This window comes from Homo sapiens, chromosome 2, assembly GCF_000001405.40.
Source record: "Homo sapiens chromosome 2, GRCh38.p14 Primary Assembly".
NCBI classification, from domain to species: Eukaryota; Metazoa; Chordata; class Mammalia; order Primates; family Hominidae; genus Homo; species Homo sapiens.
The window spans coordinates 224,481,797-224,502,167 of NC_000002.12; the positions used below are offsets into that span (position 1 = coordinate 224,481,797).

Consider the following 20,371-nt stretch of genomic DNA (forward strand, 5'->3'; position numbering starts at 1 on the left):
AAGGAGTATTTTTAAAAGAAATCCAATAGATGAGATTTTTTTTCTAAAGAGAAAAATATATAATTTTTTGAGAGGAAAAATATAATTCCAGATACCTGTTTGAATCTTGACTCTGTGTAGTTTGGATGTGAATTGATCATTAACTGTAAATATATGACCATTTTCTATTTCCTTTGATTTGGGTTCTTTTGTAAGAACCCGCTGTGTTGGTTTACCACAGGCGAGGGACTGTAGGGCTCTAACAAGCTCTCTTTCAGGGATATCTGTCTCTTGCTGAATTTCCTGAAATTTCATCAGATTAACATAATTAGACTTTTTGAAAGATTAAAGTTAGTTAATTAGCAAGTAAACTGACCAAGCAGTAGTTAAAAAGAGGTAATTCCATTAAATAAATAATGCACAAAAAAGAATTCTCTTGAGTACTATGACACATCATTAAAATCTCATTATTTGAACAAACGAGAGGAAAGGGTGATTCAAGTTATAAAATATTAAAAAGACATGTACTTTTTTGTTTCAGGAGATACAATGGCTAATCCAAAAATGTTATCCAGCAGAGATTATCAGGAACCTGCTTCAACATTTAGGTAAAAATAAAGTGTTAACCAACATATAATTGCTAATTTTATAAATATTTTACAATCTTCCATCCAAGTTTATCCAGACTACTCTTTTGCTTAGTAATTTCTTTCATAGAAAAAAGGAAGGTAAGCCTGAGCTCAGGCCTTCTACCATACAATCAAAATTTACCATCCAGACTGACCATATGTATGCTTCTATGACCAAATGAAGAAAAAAAAAAACCTGGAATTACATTAAACATAAATATCAACAAGCAATCTGTTTTGAAGTTCAGGTAATAATCTTTACTGCGTATTATGAATAATGATGTGAATGGTATGAATAAAGTGTAATACTAGGGGAGAAAAAGCAGCTCAGGAAAGAATGCTGTGTAATTTTAAATTCACTATTCTGTCAGTGGGACAGCAAGGAAACTGTACAGTTATATGATTTAGTCTCTACATGTCTATAGTGATATGTGATTGAGTAAAAGTCTTGACACTAGGATTTATTGCTTTGATGCACTGTATACAGCTATCTGTCTCTTTCTCAAAAGCAGCTTATGAAGAGTGGGCATGAAGATGGTGATATTCAGATTATACGAGTAACTGATCTGGAGAGTCAGTCATTCTCTCTAGACAAGTCTTTGAGCAACAGTTCTGTTCTCCTAAAAAACTGTCAGGTAGGCAAGGATTCAGAGAAATGTGATTTTCAGTGATTACACATATTCATTTTCTTCAAATAATCTCTGGTTATATCTACCTACTTTAGACATTTCAAATAGTATAAATGCTAATCCCAGAAAATAGGTGCTATTATTAGAATGAAGATGTTTATTATTACATACATGCTAAAAGTGATTTATTTACATACTTTAGTTATTGCTTAATCATATTCAATGAACCAGAAATACCTTAGGTGGTATTTTAAGATTACAGATCATCCCAAGAGGTAACTATTACCAAAAGTATTTTATAAAAGTCAGTCCTAAAACCTTATAGTGGGGAATTCTTAGCTGCCTAAGAACAGAATGAAATGCCCCTAAAGTCATAAGGTTGTATATATAATGAGAGAGTTAAGCATAACAGTAGTTAGTATACTAGACATCTTTCTATTAGAGTTAGGAACAAGATAAGGATGCCTATCTTTACTATTACTATTTTACCTGCACTCTGGTAATCAATTGTATATTTAAATTACTTTTTAAAAGCAATGTTTTCCTATTCATCTATATATACACATGAATACAAGTATATGCATATACATGAACGTACACGAACACATCCACCTATACACCAGTATTAGTGTTAAATGAGACCATAACATGAATTTTTCTATTAATTTCTTCAGATTTTTCAGCTAGCAAAAAGAGATTAAAGCTACAAGGAATTCCATAGTACTGTTCTATCATGACACAAGTGGAGATTTAGACTGGATCCAATGTTCTGTTGGTACATGCATTTCTGACTTTGAGCACGAAAGCCTGTTTTTCAAAAGCAAATTTCTAGAAATGCACTTGCTTCCTCAAAGTTATAAATATTTTATATTTGCGCCAAGCACGGTTGCTCACGCCTGTAATCCCAGCACTTTGGGAGACCAAAGTAAGAAAATCACTTGAGCCCAAGAATTCAAAATCAGCCTGGTCAACATAGCAAGATCTGCTCTCTACCAAACATTTAAAAAATAGCCTGTAGTCCCAGCTACTCATGAGGCTAAGGTGGGAGGATGGCTTGAACCTGGGAGGTCGAGGTTATAGTGAGACATGATAATACCACTGCACTCCAGTCTGGGCAAGAATGAGACCCTGTCTCAAAATTTTTTTTTTTTAGTATTTGATAAATACTAATGAACTGCTTTCAAGTTGCTTAACAATTTAACCCCCCACAAAAATAGTATATGAATATCCACTCCCTCACACCCTCTTCAACGCCAGATTTTCTTTTGCTCATGTTTGGCTAAAAATGAAATCTCATTATTTTAATTTGTACTTCTCATGACCACTATGGGAAAAAATATTTTTATATTTACAGGATATCTGTAATCTTCTATGCTTTCTCTATCTATATTCCTTCATGTTTTTATACTCAATTGTTTGCCTTCATACTGATTTACTGATGCTCTTTATAGATTATGGTTTTCAATTTTTATGTTATAAGTAATTTCTCCTAGTCTATTTTTAACTTAATGTATCTCATCATATAGATGTGTTATCACTTATGTGGTTAAATCTGTTAATCTTTTCCTTTATTATTTTGGTAATACATTTTTAAAAAGACATTTCTCACATTAAGGTTACCAAAATATTCAACATTTTCTTCCATTATTTATATAGATTTGCACTTATATTTAGATTTTCACATTTATCTGGAATTTTATATTTGATGTGATCCATGGAATTGAGGTCTTAATACTACCCTCTTCTCATTCCCACAAATAAAAAACAATTAAATTCAGTTTTTAGAAACGACAAATTTGAGATCTGGCAAGATGGCCGAATAGGAACAGCTCCGATCTGCAGCTCCCAGCGAGACTAATGCAGAAGGTGGGTGATTTCTGCATTTCCAACTGAGGTACCTGGTTCATCTCAATGGGACTGGTTAGACAGTGGGTGCAGCCCACAGAGGGTGAGCAGAAGCAGGGTGGGGCGTCACCTCACCTGGGAAGCACAAGGGGTCAGGGAACTCCCTCCCCTAGCCAAGGGAAGCCCTGAGGGACTGTGCTATCTGGCCCAAATACTACGCTTTGCCCACAGTTTTTGCAACCCGCAGACCAGGAGATTCCCTTGTGTGCCTACACCACCAGGACCCTGGGTTTCTAGCACAAAACTGGTCGGCTGTTTGGGCAGATACCAACTTAGCTGTAGGAGTTTTTTTTCATATCCCAGTGGCAGCCGGAACCCCAGCGAGAGAGAACCGTCCACTCCCCTGGAAAGGGGGCTGAAGCCAGGGAGCCAAGTGGTCTTACTCAGTGGGTCCCACCCCGACAGATCCCAGCAAGCAAGCTAAGATCCACTGGGTTGAAATTCTCACTGCCAGCACAGCAGTCTGAAGTCAACCTGGGACACTCAAGCTTGGTGGGGGGAGGGGCGTCCACCATTCCTGAGGCTTGAGTAGGCGGTTTTCCCCTCACAGTGTAAACAAGGCCTCCAGGAAGTTCGAACTGGGCGGGTGGCAAAGCTGCTGTGGCCAAACTGCCTCTCTAGATTCCTCTTGACTGGGCAGGGCATCTCGGAAAGAAAGGCAGCAGCCTGAGTCACGGGCTTGTAAATAAAACTCCCATCTCCCTGGGACAGAGCACCTGGGAAGAAGGCAGCTATGGGCCCAGCTTCAGCAGAATTAAATGTTCTTGCCTGCTGGCTCTGAAGAGAGCAGTGGATCCCACAGCGCAGCACTCCAGCTCTGCGAAGGGACAGACTGCCTCCTCAAGTGGGTCCGTGTCCCCCATGCCTCCCTGACAGGAGACACCTCCCAGCAGGGGTCAACAGACACCTCATACAGGAGAGCTCCGGCTGGCATCTGGCAGGTGCCCCTCTGGGACAAAGCTTCCAGAGGAAGGAGCAGGCAGCAATCTTTGCTGTTCTGCAGCCTCCACTGGTGATACGTAGGTGAACAGGGTCTGGAGTGGACCTCCAGCAAACTGCAGCAGACCTGCAGAAGAGAGGCCTGATTGTTAGAAGGAAAACTAACAAACAGAAAGCAATAACATTCAACATCAACGAAAAGAATGCCCATGCAAAAACCCCATCCAGAGGTCATCAGCATCAAAGATCAAAGGTAGATAAATCCATGAAGATGAGGAAAACCCAGTGCAAAAAAGATGAAAATTCCAAAAACTAGAATGCCTCTTCTCCTCCAAAGGATCAGAACTCCTCGCCAGCAAGGGCACAAAACTGGATGGAGAATGAGTTTGACAAACTGACAGAAGTAGGCTTCAGAAGGTGGGGAACAACAAACTCCTCTGAGCTAAAGGAGCATGTTCTAACCCTAAGAAGCTAAGAAGCTAAGAACCTGGATAAAAGGTTACAGGAACTGCTAACTAGAATAACCAGTTTAGAGAAGACCATAAATGACCTGATGGAGCTGAAAAACACAGCACAAGAACTTCGTGAAGCACACACAAGTATCAACAGCCAAATCGATCAAGCAGAAGAAAGGATATCAAAGACAGAAGATCAACTTAATGAAATAAAGCGTGAAGACAAGATTAGGGAAAAAAGAATGAAAAGGAACAAACAAAGCCTCTAAGAAATATGGGACTATGTGAAAAGACCAAACCTACGTTTGACTGGTGTACCTGAAAGTGACGGGGAGAATGGAACCAACTTGGAAAACACACTTCAGGATATTAACCAGGAGAACTTCCCCAACCTAGCAAGACAGGCCAACATTCAAATTCAGGAAATACAGAGAACACCACAAAGATATTCCTCCAGAAGAGCAACCCCAAGACACATAATCATCAGATTCACCAAGGTTGAAATGAAGGAAAAAATGTTAAGGGCAGCCAGAAAGGTCAGGTTACCCAAAAAGGGAAGCCCATCAGACTAACAGCAGATCCCTCTGCAGAAACCCTACAAGCCAGAAGAGAGTGGGGGGGGCCAATATTCAACAATCTTAAAGAGAAGAATGTTCAACCCAGAATATCATATCCAGCCAAACTAAGCTTCATAAGCAAAGGAGAAATACAATCCTTTACAGACAAGCAAATGCTGAGGGATTCTGTCACCACCAGGTCTGCCTTACAAGGGCTTCTGAAGGAAGCACTAAATATGGAAAAGAAAAATCGGTACCAGCCACTGCAAAAACATACCAAAATGTAAAGACTATTGACACTATGAAGAAACTGCAACAACTAATGGGCAAAATAACTAGCTAACATCATAATGACAGGATCGAATTCACACATAACAATATTACCTTAAACGTAAAGGGGCTAAATGCCCCAATTAAAAGACACAGACTGGCAAATTGGATAAAGAGTCAAGGCCTATCAGTGTGCTGTATTCAGGAGACCCATCTTACATGCAAAGGCACACACAGGCTCAAAATAAAGGGATGGAGGAATATTTACCAAGCCCGCCCCCCCCAAAAAAAAAAAAAAAAAAAAAAGCAGGGGTTGCAATCCTAGTCTCTGATAAAAAAAGACAAAGAAGGGCATTACATAATGGTAAAGGGATCAATGCAACAAGAAGAGCTAACTATCCTAAATATATATGCACCCAACACAGGAGCACCCAGATTCATAAAGCAAATTCATAAAGTCTCTACAAAGAGACTCAGACTCCCACACAATAATAGGGGGAGACTTTGATACCCCACTGTCAATATTAGACAGATCAATGAGACAGAAAATTAACAAGGATATTCAGGGACCTGAACTCAGCTCTCGACTAACAGACATCTATAGAACTCTCCATCCCACATCAACAGAATATATATTCTTCTCAGCACCATATCACACTTATTCTAATATTGACCACATAATGGGAAGTAAAACACTCCTCAGCAAATGCAAAAGAATGGAAATCGTAACAAACAGTCTCTCAGACCACAGTGGAATCAAATTAGAACTCAGGATTAAGAAACTCATTCAAAACTGTACAACTACATGGAAACTGAACAACCTGTTCCTGAATGACTAGTGGGTAAATAACACAATGAAGGCAGAAATAAATACGTTATTTGAAACCAATGAGAACTAAGACACGACGTACCAGAATCTCTGGGACACGGCTAAAGCAGTGTGTAGAGGGAAATTTATAGCACTAATTGCCCACAGGAGAAAGCAGGAAAGATCTAAAATTGACACCCTAACATCACAATTAAAAGAACTAGACAAGCAAGAGCAAACAAATTCAAAAGCTAGCAGAAGACAAATAACTAACATCAGAACTGAAGGAGATAAGAGAAAACAGAACTGAAGGAGATAAGAGAAACAGAAAACTCTTCAAAAAAAAAAATCAATGAATCCAGGAACTGGTTTTTTGAAAAGATTAAAAAATAGATAAGACTGCTAACCAGACTAATAAAGGAGAGAGAAGAATCAAATAGACACAATAAAAAACGATAAAGTGGATATCACCACCGATCCCACAGAAATACAAACTACCATCAGGGAATACTATAAACACTTTTATGCAAATAAACTAGAAAATCTGGAAGAAATGCATAAATTCCTGGACACATACACCCTCCCAAGACTAAGCCAGGAAGAAGTTGAATCCCTGAATGGACCAATAACAAGTTCTGAAACTGAGGCAGTAATAGCCTACCAACCCAAAAAAGCCCAGGATCAGACGGATTCACAGTCGAATTCTACCAGAAGTACAAAGAGGAGCTGGTACCATTCCTTCTGAAACTATTCCAAACAATATAAAAAGAGGGACTTCACCTTAACTCATTTTATGAGGCCAGCATCATCCTGATACCAAAACCTGGCAGAGACACAACAAAAAAAGAAAATTTCAGGCCAGTATCCCTGAGGAACATCGATGTGAAAATTCTCAATAAAATACTGGCAAACCGAATCCAGCAGCACATCAAAAAGCTTATCCACCATAATCAAGTTGGCTTCATCCCTGGGATGCAAGGCTGGTTCAACATATGCAAATCAATAAACGTAATCCACCACATAAACAAAACCAATGAAAAAACCACATGATTATCTCAATAGATGCAGAAAAGACCTTTGGTAAAATTCAACACCCCTTGCTGCTAAGAACACTGAATAAACTAGGTATTGAACATATCTCAAAATAATAAGAGCTATCTATGACAAACCCATAGCCAATATCATACTGAATGAACAAAAGCTGGAAGCATTCCCTTTGAAAACTGGCACAAGACAAGGATGCCCTCTCTCACCACTGCTATTCAACATAGGATTGCAAGTTCTGGCCAGGGCAATCAGGCAACAGAAAGAAATAAAGTATTCAAACAGGAAGAGAGGAAGTCAAATTGTCTCTGTTTGCAGATTACATAATTGTGTATTTGGAAAACCCCATCGTCTCAGCCCAAAAACTCTTTAAGCTGATAAGCAACTTGAGCAAAGTCTCAGGACACAAAATCAATGTGCAGAAATCACAAGCATTCCTATACACCAATAATAGACAAACAGCCAAATCACGAGTGAACTCCCGTTCACAATTACTACAAAGAGAATAAAATACCTAGGAATACAACTTAAAAAGGACGTGAAGGATCTCTTCAAGGAGAACTACAAACCAAACAAATGGAAAAATATTCTATGCTCATGGATAGGAAGAATCAATATTGTGAAAATGGCCATACTGCCCAAAGTAATTTACAGATTCAATGCTATTCCCATCAAGCTACCATTGACTTTCTTCACAGAAAGAGAAAAAACTACTCATAAGACCCAAAACCATAAAAACCCTAGAAGAAAACGTAGGCAATACCATTCAGGACATAGGCATGGGCAAAGACTTCATGACTAAAACACCAAAAGCAACTGCAACAAAAGCCAGAATTGACAAATGGGATCTAATTAAACTAACGAGCTTCTGCACAGCAAGGAAACTATCATCAGAGTGAACAGGCAACCTACAGAATGTGAAAAAATTTTTGCGATCTATCCATCTGACAAAGGTCTAATATCCAGAATCTACAAGGAACTTAAGCAAATTTACAAGAAAAAAAGAACCCCATCAAAAAGTGGACAAAGGATATGAACAGACACTTCTCAAAAGAAGACATTTGTGTTGCTAACAAACATGAATAAAAGCTCATCATCCCTGGTCATTACGGAAATGCAAATCAAAACCACAATGAGATACCATCTCATGCCATGTGATGCTGTGCTTCAGTGGTCACGCTCCTAGTCCGCTTTCATGTTCCATCCTGTACACCTGGCTCTGCCTTTTAGATAGCAGTAGCAAAATTAGTGAAAGTACTAAAAGTCTCTGATATGCAGAAATAACGGCATAAGCTGTCCTCTCTCTCTAACCCCCTCTCTCTCTGCCTCGGCTGCCAAACAGGGAAGGGCCCCCTGGCTGGTGGACAGGTGACTCACGTGACCTTATCAATCATTGGAGATGACTCACACTCCTTACCCTGCCCCTTTTGCCTTGTATCCAATAACAGCGCAGCCAGGCATTCGGGGCCCTACCGGTTTCCGCGTCTTGGTGGTAGTGGTCCCCCGGGCCCAGCTGTCTTTTATCTCTTTGTCTTGTGTCTTTATTTCTACAATCTCTCGTCTCCGCACAAGGGGAGAAAAACAACCGACCCTGTGGGGCTGGACCCTACAGGGTGATGGGTGCAGCAGACCACCATGGCACAAGTATACCTATGTAACAAACTTACACGTTCTGCACATACATCCCAGAGCTTTAAAGAAAAAAAAAAAAAAGACATTTATCACATCCCAGACACCTACAAATATATTAGTTTGCTTCTGGACTCCCTTTTGTTCAAATGAGCTGTCTGTCTATGCATTTTAAATAATGTTAACTTGTATACTTTTTAATAACAGAGAATACAACCGGAATTTTCATAACACAAATAATGCTAAGATGGATACCCCATTTACCCTGATGTGATTATTACACACTATATGCTTGTATCAAGATATCTCACGTATCCCATAAATATATACATGTACTATGTACCCATAAAAATTATAAATTAAAAAAACGTGATATGGTATGTTTTGTTATTAGGACAAATTCCTTCCCCTTTCACTGAGCTTTCCTACCTAAGACCCATCCCTTTTCAAAAGTAGTTTTGCCTAATCTTGTGCATTTTCTGGTCCAGATGAATTATGGAATCAGCTTGTCGAGTTTTATTTAAAAATATATATATTTTGGACATTTCATTTCAGATTTCCTTGAATTTATAGGTGACTTTTAAAAACAGCACACTTATAACTTGTAATTCTCCCATTTGGGTACATTTACCCTTTCATATTCTTTAGCTTTTACTGTCTTCTTGGTATAAGTACCCTGTCTACACAGTTCTTGTTAAGATGATTCCTGGGAAGGCTATGATTCTTAATAAAACATCCTTTTCTTCATGTCATTTACTGATTAATGCTGGTTTACTGAAAAGGTATTTTCTTTCCAACAAAACTCTTCTAAAGAAATGTTTTCTCACTGATTATCATGTATTGCCAAATTGACAATCATATTATCTACAGATTTTGATAATTTTTTCAATTTCTTCCTGATACTTATGAATTTCATTCCTTTCTTCTTCTTAGTATATTAGGACCTGCAGAGCAAGGCATAATAGTAGTAGTAAAGATAGGCAACTTCATCTTGTTCCTCAGTCTAATAGAAAGGTGTCTAGTATTTTCCTACTAACTACTACAATGATTTAGTTTGTCATCAGATACAACCTTATGGCATTAAGGGCAATCCATTCTAAGGTGGCGATGAGTCCCCCACTTTTATAAGGAATGAGGACTGGCTTTTATCAAATACTTTTTGTTCATCTATAGAGATCAAATGGTTTTCTCCTTAAAATGGTGCCTGGCAATTAGGCAACTGCTTGTTTTTACAATTATTACAATATCTTAATAACGATCTTTTCAAAAAGTTTTCCTATGCTGACCTTTCTTTGTATTGTAGGGATAAATCCTTTTTGAACACAGTGCATTATTCTTTCAATACACTACTGAATATGACTTGCTAATATTGAGATTTATGCTTTCAGTGTATTAGAATCTAAGGAGCAAGGCAGAATGATGAATAACCTTAAGCTTTCTTTCTCTTTTGTATTTTCCTTGCTCAGTTTTAGCAAAAAAATTATGCTAGCCTCAGATATTTCCTGAGAGCAGTATGTCTATTTTGCCTTCTGAGTTCAAAGTTCGCTAAACAGCCTTCAATTTTAACTTGCTAATTGTGTTATTCAAATTTCCTATATCCCCCTTTTCAACTCAGGTTAGTCAATAAATTTGTAAGGAATTTCCATGATTCTCGAGTTGTCTACTTTCCCTTGTACTTTCATTTTCCTTTCTATATTGTGAAGTTATGTCCCTAATGATTGCTATAAATTATTGATGAATATCAAATACTACTGTTAAGTTTTCTATTTAAATTCTGACATTAATAGTGCTATTGTCTGTAGTTTTTAAATTTCAGACTCATTCTCATAAAATTATAAAAAATAAAGAACATTAACAAAAATATGTATTAATAGTTCTTATCCATACCTCTTTCAAAAACCCACTGCTAATTACTAAAGTCCAAGGTACAGACTACCACTGTATGTATTTCCTATTTTTAGCTGTTCTAAATCACAATAAACTTACCTTTAGTCATTCAAAAAACATGAAAAGAAAAAACCTCAGCAGCAGCCTGACTACTACAGATTAAATATGACACTACAAATTAATGCCACCTGTTGTAGCCAGCTTCTATGACAGCACGTAATAACCCTGGTATATGTTAATCTTGTGTGGTCCTCTCACTATCAGGGCTGACTTGGGCAACCAAGAAAATGAGAAGTGACACTACATGTCTTCCAGGGAAAGATCAAAAAGGCACTGCAGGTTCTGCCTGGGTCTTCTGGATTGCTCGCTCTTGGGAAAACCAGCCACCAAGATTTGAGGACAAAGAGCCACATGAAAAGGCCCATGTGCAGAGAAACTAAGGCCACTTAACAACATCCAGAACAAATTTGCCAGCCATGTGAACCACCCTGGAAGTGTATTCTCCAGCTTCAGTCAAACCGTCAGATGACCAGAACCCCAGACAACATCTAAATGCAACCTCATGAACCCCAAGCCAGAACTACCCAACTGAGTATCTTCTCAATCCCTAACCCACAGAAACGAGAGATAATAAATTGTTAGTGGTTGTTTTAAATCACTAACTTTTGAAATTCGTCATGTGGCATTAAACAATACACCATCTTACTGAACTCACACAGAATATTCAAAAATAAAAGTTCACCTTCCTTTAAATTATTATAATTAAATACTTTTAACTATCTCCACTAATTTGTGGAGGTGATTTCTTTAAAAAGGCTAGCTAATAAAACATTAGCAACAGACTGTAGAGAAACACGTGGTGTTGAGTAAAGACACATTTCTTGTGCCTTCTCACAATGCCCCAGATTTGAGGTGTCAGCAGCCAGAAGGCTTTGGAGCCATAGGCATGGCATTCTATATACACTACAATCAGTTTCTGCTTTGTGACTTAGCTAAAGTTGGAAAACTTACAGATATTCTCTACTTAATTTTAACCTTCCATCTAATAACTGCTTATTAGCATCAATGATTCCAAGTCAGATGGGAAAAGGAAAAGCTTGAACCACTAAATTTTCCAGCAATTCCAGTAACAGCTTTAAAAAATGAATTCGTATTTTTTATTATCCCATTATTTTTTACCAGGTCTTTATAAGCCAGGACTCTGAAAATCAACTCTAGCATTTACCAAGTAGCTAATTTTGTTTAAAATATTTTATCCATTAAGAGCCGCAGATTAAAAAAATGACTACACAAAAACAGCTGTTAGAGATAATTTAATTCCACCTCTGTTTGAAAAGCCTAGGTTTGGGTAAGGTACTCAACGCTTGCTTAATCAGTATTCTTGGGACTCAATCAAATATAACTCATGCTTGAAAATCAAGGTAATAATAAAATAAAAATAAAAGTAAAAAAAATTCAAGGTTACTCCCTAGGTAAGACCCACATGGAAATCCATAAGAAAAACTTCTCAATTTAGCCACTGAGCTACTAAAATACCTAGATTTCAAGCATTCCCTTTAAATATATCACATAAAAATGATGGCTCTCTTAATTATACTAACTTCCATACTCCCATATAAATGGGATACATAAATGGGAGTATGGACATGAATATTAAATAGGCCTAGAACTTGCTCTTAATTTCAAACACACTATTTTTTTTCTTGTGCTCACCTGTATATGAAAATTGGTTTTCAATTAAGTACAAATATGGAATTAATTTTGAGTCTTTCAAAATATTCATTACCTTAAATTTAAACTTAATGTGAATCACATGACCTTCATTTTAACCCCAAAACACCCTTTAAATGTACAGGAAAAGACTAATTGGATTTAATGTAATCAAATCATATTTTAATTGGGAGAAAAGGAAAAGGAAAAAAAAGCATATTATAAAATTAGTTACTCTAATGAAAAAAGATGGGTGCAAAGAGAAAAATGACTGCACTATCAAGACAGCATAAAACTGGCATAAAGACAGACATAGAGATCAATGAAACAGATCAGACAGCATAAAAATAGACCCACCCATATATGATCAATTGATTTTTAAATAATGACGACAAGGTAATTCGGTGGGAAAAAAATAGTGCCTTCAACAAATGATGCTGGAACAAACAACTGACAGCGTGAGGGGAAATGTATCTTAATCCTTACCTTATACTATATAAAAAAATTAACCTAAAATTCATCGTAGACATACATGTAAAAGCTAAAATTACGAACTATTGAAAAAATAAAAGTAAATCGTTACAAATTCAGGGTAGGCAATAATTTCTTAGGACTTAAAGCACAAACTACAAAAAGCAAAGTGATTAACTGGACTTTTTCAGTATTTTAAAACTCTGCTCTTCAAAAGACACCATTAAGAAAATGAAAAGGCAAGCAACAGACTGAAAAAAATACTCAGAGCACATATATCTGACGAAGGACTTGTATCCAGAATTTATAAAGAACTTTTACAATGTAGTAAGAAAACAACTCAAAAAAGATACAAACACTTCACCAAACAAGATATATCAGTGGCATATTAACACATAAAAGATGCTCAACATCATCATCAAAAAAAAAAAAGAAAATTAAATCCAAAATGAGACACTATTACACACCAACTAAAGCGGCTCAAAATCTAAAGACTGCAGATGATGTAGAGCGACTGGACCGTCTTGCACTGCTGGCAAATAAGGAAAATGGTATAGTTGCTTTGGGATACAGTTCGGCAGTTTCTTAAAATGTTAAACATATAGCTCTACTTAGCCTAAATCCGGTATCAACCCAAATGCAGGTGAACTGACAAAGGATTAAAGCATACAGACAACATGTATGATTCCATTTACATGAAAGTCTAAAAAAAAACAAAACTAATTTATAGTGATATAAAGCAGGTCACTGGCTGCCTGGGGCTGGAGGTGGTAGGAGGGAATAGACTGGCAAGGGGTACAACGCAATTTTGGAGGTAATGCTCTGTATTTTCGGGCAATATTCTTGTGATGGTAGTTACAAAGATGCACTCATTTAAAACTCATCAAATTGTCTACTTATATAAGGTATGTTTTATATAAAAGTACTTCTATAAAGTTAATTTAAAAATAAGACATAACTCAATACATGTATGATGTTCATACAGTTCCATGATCCATTTTATACAGTTTTCTCTAAAAGTACCCAAAGAGACTCTCTAAAGGTTATTCAAATAAGAAAGACTCAAGTAACAAGTGAGAGTTAGAAACAACACAGTTAAAATGTATATAACCACAATCCATACCTCAAATGTGTATTTTTCTCTATTATTAAAGAGCATTAATATGGTCATCTGGAAAGTGGAAACTTGCAATATGTGCTTCCGTGTATTAGAGCCAGTTACTTGTGCACCTCCAACACCAACTTCAGATCCATCTTCCTGTTTCATTTTTAAAAAAATATAAACAAAGACACAATCATTTCCTGGTAACATTAATGTATGTATGTACGTACATATGTATGTTACAGGGTCTCACTTTGTCATCCAGGCTACAGTGCAGTGGCGCAAACACAGCTCACTGCAGCCTCAACCTCCTGGGCTCAAGCAATCCTCCTACCTTAGCCTCCCAAGTAACTAGGACCATGTGTGTGCACCATCATGCCCAGCTAACTTTTGTATTTTTTGTAGAAACGGGGTTTTGCCATGTTGCCCATGCTGGTCTCAAACTAATGGGCTCCAGTGATTTGCCCGCATAGGCTCACAAAATGCTGAGATTATGGGCGTGAGCCACCACGCCTGACCAATTTTCTGGTAACTTTAATGGTATGTTTCAGAAATAGGTCCCATAATCTCCATCCTCCCCCAACAAAACTACATAACTTATTTATATAAAGGAAATCTATTTCTTAAAATGTGTGCACACACACACAAACAGTATTTAGGACTGTCCCTTGTCCCCCCATTGTGAACATTTTAATGTTATCTGAACAAGTAACTAATCAATTCCCTGTATTTAATGCTAAAATTATTTTAACAGTACACTATGGGATGATAATAATAATAGACTTACAAAACACCACTACTGTTATACTACCACCAAAAGTAACAGGATTAGGTTTCTTTCTGTGTGATGTGATCACAGTAAGAGATCAAAAAATAGCATAGCATAGCATGGGGGCTGGGGGAGGAGGGGGGAACTGCCATTCTCAAAGCCTATTCCTGCTTTACGATTTAAGGGATACAAAGTGGAACTTTCTAATTCTTCAATAATTAACATATGCATATGTTTTAAAAATCTACTGATCTGCTTAATAAACTTCAAAAGAACATGATTATTTAGGGAAAAAAAACCCTCTTTTAAAACAAAAGCAGGCAGTAATTAAAAGCTGAGTTCTTTAGTTTCCTTGTCCTTCCCACTTACACTTAAATATGTGTCGAATATTATTTAACGAAATTATAAAGCACTATTTCCCATTTCAATTAAATATCAAAATTAGAATATTTTTATGGGCATTTTCAGCAATACTTAATCTGATGTTAACAGTGATTCATCATACCAAACTAGTAAAATTCTCATTAAAATCTAAAGCTTATTTGCCTCCTAGATGACAATTTAGGTATATTTCTACAGTTTTTCTAGAAGACTTAATATTTTCTGAAGGCAAAAAATCCTGATTCATATCAAGTAATGAAAATAAATTATTACTCTAAACCTCACAATCTAGATATAAAAATGCGATTGCTTTTTAAAAATGAAGGCAAATCACTGGTCTAATACTAATTTTTTAAATTACTTTAATAACATTTATATATCTAACAAATCACAAATGTTAATTTTCCCAATCTTGATTTATTAGAAATAAAGATTATAGGTGACAGAATTTTGAAAAGGGGCTCATGGCTTTGTATGCACTGAAATCAACTTACATTTTACTATTTTATGCAATATTTTCTCAAACCTAATTTTATGAATAAAATATGTAATTATCCTAATGTTTAGTCCTTAGGGAAGACTATACTGGTATAGTCTTCATATTTTCAAAGGTGCAGTTAGCAACTGAGAGAACAGAAGTAATAAATCAAAGCTAGGATTTTTAACCTTTCTAACATGTGAGACAGGCAGAGAAACAGAAGTAAGTAATTTACCCAGGTCAACATAAATCACACATCAGCTCTAATAGACTAACTTTAAGTTACTTAATACGTTCAAACTATCAATATTTACCTTTTTAACTGGTCCATAAAATGTGGCATTGAGATCTGCAGAACCCATATGATGCTGGAGTGTGAGCTGTCGACCACTGTGTTTGGCTAAGTAGAACCTTCAGTAAATCAAACCAGGTTTTAGAAAATCAAACAAACTTACACATTTGAAATTACAAACTACAGGATAACATCCCTTAAACATTTGTGTGTGTGTGTGTGTGTGTATGGACTTTAAAACTTAAAGGAAACTTTAGGAATCAAGTTCAGTTTCAACTTTCTATAGGCAAGACCTTGAGAGAGTCCTAAGTAACTCAGCTAGATATTAAATGACAAAGGCCCCACACTAAATAATTTCTACTGTACACTCTGCCCCAACCTACTGCTGCTCAGCCCTTGCTGTTCTTAAGACCACCTTTCTCCATAGTAACCCAATAATCAATTTGTTCTAAGTCAGTAGCAGACATCAACAGTACAAAATATACTCCTATACCACAGTACGAAAAATACTCAATGCACATTTATAAAATATTCCTCTGGGAAAAGTTTATGTAATTTTTTCTTACATATTAAAATTATAAAGGATAAACTCTCCCTTTGTTTTTGTTGTTCAAAACTGGTAGTTTTTCTTGAATTTTTATATTTATGTTTTTTGTCACTATCCACACCATATTTTTTCCAAAGCCTGAGCCACTCTGTGGTTCTTGCCCCAATATAACAATCATCCCTTCACTCTTAGAATTCCTTTTCCCTTGTCATTTTGCCTTTCTACAGTTTATAAAAAATGAGGACTTTGGGGAGGGAAAAAACCCAACATTTCTGTGAACTCGAGACTATAGGCAGTGCCTAAACCAGTAGGATCAGGCAAATAAAACTAGTTGGACAGCAGACATATCATGAACTCTTGCAACAGCGTGTTATCTGTGTGCATGTCTAAAGTGTTATACTGATTCACTATTACAATAAGGATCATGCAGTTGACCAGGGTGAAGCAGGACTGTCTACAGGATTATGTGAATTGTGGTGGTGGAGACAGTATACAAGATTAATGGATTAAAACCTAGCTGCTTTCCTGGAAAATGGCCTATGTTCTAAAAGACAAAATCTAGTTTTTATTTTTTTAATTTATGAAGCTACAAGTCAATAATATGCTAGTGCTTCTGGTTCAAAATGAAAGCAACTGGCTATGGTAATGTAGAGAAGACAGCAGGAATAGCACCAGAATGTTCGAGGCTTTTTAAGTTAAATTCTTAGTTACTTCACCTTACAAAGATACATGTCAATATGCTGAATACTCAACAAAGATCCAGGATATGGGCTATTTAAAAATACGTATCTCCTGGATCAGCACCAAAAATATCTTTAGTTTCTGTACAACCCACGTCAAGTTTTTAAGTGTAGGCAAGTCGAAATTATTTCTGATACAAATCACAAACTCCACAGAAATCATTCAAGATATATTCAAACAACTTTCAAATACATTTTGACATCAAGGTCAGGCAATTCACCTGGAAGAACATCTTAATAAGTACCAATGAATTTTTTGTAGTAAGATGTTTGATGTCAACCTTTTACTATGGGAATATTTTACATCTCACACAAAGAAGGCACTGGTACTTGGACACTTAAGACAATTACTAGAATCATTAAGACTAAGGTGAAGAATTTGTACAGTGCCTTCCACAATTTCAAAGAGGTCGTGACAGATACTTGTCCTCCTGGCAATATCAAATACAGTTTCTTCCCAGTTGTTTTTTCAGATCTGGTTTGAGGTTAACAGTTCACCAGTAGATGTTCTAGAGTAGCTCTGCTGTCTCTGATCCCAGCAGCAAGATGCAAGTGGGTCAAGAGACCTTTTGTTTGGTCACTGATAACTAATCTACACCATGCTGAAGAAATAAAGAAGCCACTCTGGTATTATTCCACTTATAAGCACCCTGCAGGGGTGTCCAGCTATCTACGGTCACTGCAAAAACTTCTGCCCCTTGTGCAATCAGCTCACAGACAATGTCTAAGTGTCCACCTTAGGCTGCTCGATGAAGGGGGTGATACACTCATCTTCATCCCTAGTGTTCACACGAGTGGTCTTTTCACAAAGCAGTCTCCACACTGGATAAGCCAATTATTTTCAGCAGCCCAAAAAAAATATTTGCTTGGATCTTTCTCTGTTTTTTTCTTGCATATCACTCTTGTTTTTTTTTCATCTTGCTCCTCTTCCTCATCAAAACTGCCATCTCAGAGACTCTGAGTACTAGTGGGAATAAGGTATCCACGTATTTCCAACAATTGGAGTTAGCTGAAGTGTTCAGAAAAGTCCAAGGAATTCTCTGGGTCTAGTTTTCCATCATCATTTACTTTCTCTTTTTCCATTTTTACTGCTGCTCTAAATAAAAGGCATTTCAAATGCCAGCATATAAACAATCTTTCTAGAGATAAATTATGCCTGCTTTACTTTACTCATCAAGATCCTATAGAGGGGGAAATTGCTGTATGCCAGGATAAATGCTCCTTTTGATCACGAGGTAATAAATGGAATACATTCATCCTCAATTACGGATACTAATGTTCAAATTCATTTTTAATTTTGAACACTTACTTGTACACAGTGATACAAAGTCTGATTTTGATTTACCTTCTGAATATCTCAAAAGCATGTCTTGGTGCTGGTGGGATGTTGCACTTTGGTGTGGCTGACTGAGTGGGCCAATATCCTGTCGTGAGCACCCGGACTGTAAGATCAACACCACCTAAAGATACCTATGTAAAACAGAAAGAGATATTCCCCTCAAAATTAACTAGGATTTGCTTTCTGTTCTGTTTAGACATTGTGTTAGATTTACCAAAGCAGTTAGCTCCATGTCTAATATCTAATTTAAAAAAAAGCAGATTTTCTTTTCTTTTTTTTTTTTTTTTTGAGACAGAGTTTCGCTCGTTGCCCAGGCCGGAATGCAATGGCACGATCTCGGCTCACTGCAACCTCCGCCTCCCAGGTTCAAACGATTCTCCTGCCTCAGCTTCCCGAGTAGCTGGGATTACAGGCATGCCCACCACGCCTGGCTGATTTTGTATTTTTAGTAGAGACGGGGTTTCTCCATGTTGGTCAGGCTGGTCTCGAACTCCTGACCTCAGATGATCTGCCCGTCTCAGCCTCCCAAAGTGCTGGGACTATAGGCGTGAGACATCGCACCCGGCAAAAAAACAGATTTCCTTAAAGGTTAGACCCACCCAGTGTTTCCCAAATTTTAACTACATGGCAAATAGCTTAATTATTGCTTATTATGTTAATTTAAAAACACTGACCAAAGAATAGTTTTTGGCACATAAATCAAGTCTTACTGTTATCACTGAGAACTGAAAAGTTTGGGCCTTTTTAAATAAAAGGTCAAGGAGGGTCAATTATATCATTTTAGAGAAAATTCTAGCATAATATCCTTCGTCTCAGTTTTAAAATATTTTTACTATCTTAATACATATTTCTAATATTCCAGCACCTATTTCAACTACAGTTAATTAAAACTTTTACGTTTTAGCATGTAGCTCACATTCTAACAACCTCTGCATACAGATCCAGTGCTATAACACTATAGATCCAGTGCTACAGAGCAGGTGCTCTACAAATATCTGTACAATGAATAACTACTTCTATGCTAGTATCAACTGTCACAATTATTTTCTTCCTTTAAACAAATTAAATTTTTAAGTAAACAACAATAAGGCACAACAAAAACTCTTAAAGATTAAATATTATTTCTATTATTGATATTCAGGATGTGTTATAAACCATCATTCCATTTTTATCTTACCTCAATGATTTAGTAATGTAAATTTTTAAGGGGAGGAATCAGTTTATGAATATCAAGAAGCATTCTACACTCCGATTTCTTCACAAGTATCCACTAAATGATTACTTAACTTTAAGGAAACTGAAAATAAACTTGGATGATGCACAGAAGAGAGGATCATAGAGGAGACTCTTAGATGGTGTACTGGGGGAGGTGGAGAACTGTTTATACATTCGCAAGTTGGTTAGGGGAAGGGAGGGTCACAAAGTGGACAGTCCATCCATCCCATATCAATATGCATGGGATCTAGCCCAATCTTCCCTATAGCTTTCAATGTGTAAGATTAGTGGAAGAAAAAAATTTAAAAACTTACTAGAGCAAACAAAAAAATACAAGAAAATATATCAATATATTAGATTTAACTATAAATTCCTAAACAATCTAAAAATAAAAATCCAGGATAATTACACCACTATTTCCTGTCCACCCGAAATTTCTGTCATGGACTTGCATCTTTCCTCCTCTCAGCTCTTCTCCACTGTAAACACTGATATTTATAAAGCAAATCATACAACTATTTACATTAGAGTCAGAATGTTTTCATAGAAATGAATGGTTATTCTACAGAATTACGTATTTTCACGTATCTGGTTTG

General features: G+C 36.7%; 1 protein-coding gene and 1 pseudogene across 7 annotated transcripts in view, besides 2 other annotated features; both read right to left on the reverse strand.

The window, feature by feature from the left end:
- The window catches only part of CUL3 (cullin 3), a 115,214-nt gene that overhangs the window by 11,647 nt on the left and 83,196 nt on the right, over positions 1-20,371 (reverse strand). For all 7 annotated transcript variants that reach the window (NM_001257197.2, NM_003590.5, NM_001257198.2 and 4 more), the window contains 4 exons: positions 18,567-18,691; positions 15,957-16,053; positions 14,036-14,170; positions 96-282 (listed from right to left, as the gene is read on the reverse strand). In NM_001257197.2, coding sequence (NP_001244126.1) covers positions 96-282; positions 14,036-14,170; positions 15,957-16,053; positions 18,567-18,691 — 544 coding nt within the window. The remainder of the gene's footprint in view (positions 1-95; positions 283-14,035; positions 14,171-15,956; positions 16,054-18,566; positions 18,692-20,371) is intronic.
- Positions 2,904-4,103: an enhancer, noted in NCBI's record as "MED14-independent group 3 enhancer chr2:225349417-225350616 (GRCh37/hg19 assembly coordinates)". NCBI's record gives its function as "activates an origin of replication core promoter dependent on BRD2, BRD4, P300/CBP and CDK7 cofactors, and independent of MED14, by STARR-seq in HCT116 cells {active_cell/tissue: HCT116}" and the evidence as "EXISTENCE:reporter gene assay evidence [ECO:0000049][PMID:35650434]".
- Positions 3,370-3,909: an enhancer, noted in NCBI's record as "H3K27ac-H3K4me1 hESC enhancer chr2:225349883-225350422 (GRCh37/hg19 assembly coordinates)". NCBI's record gives its function as "activates a minimal SCP1, AML or CMV promoter by ChIP-STARR-seq in primed H9 embryonic stem cells {active_cell/tissue: H9 hESC(primed)}" and the evidence as "EXISTENCE:reporter gene assay evidence [ECO:0000049][PMID:30033119]".
- ANKRD49P1 (ANKRD49 pseudogene 1) lies at positions 17,384-18,421 on the reverse strand (annotated as a pseudogene).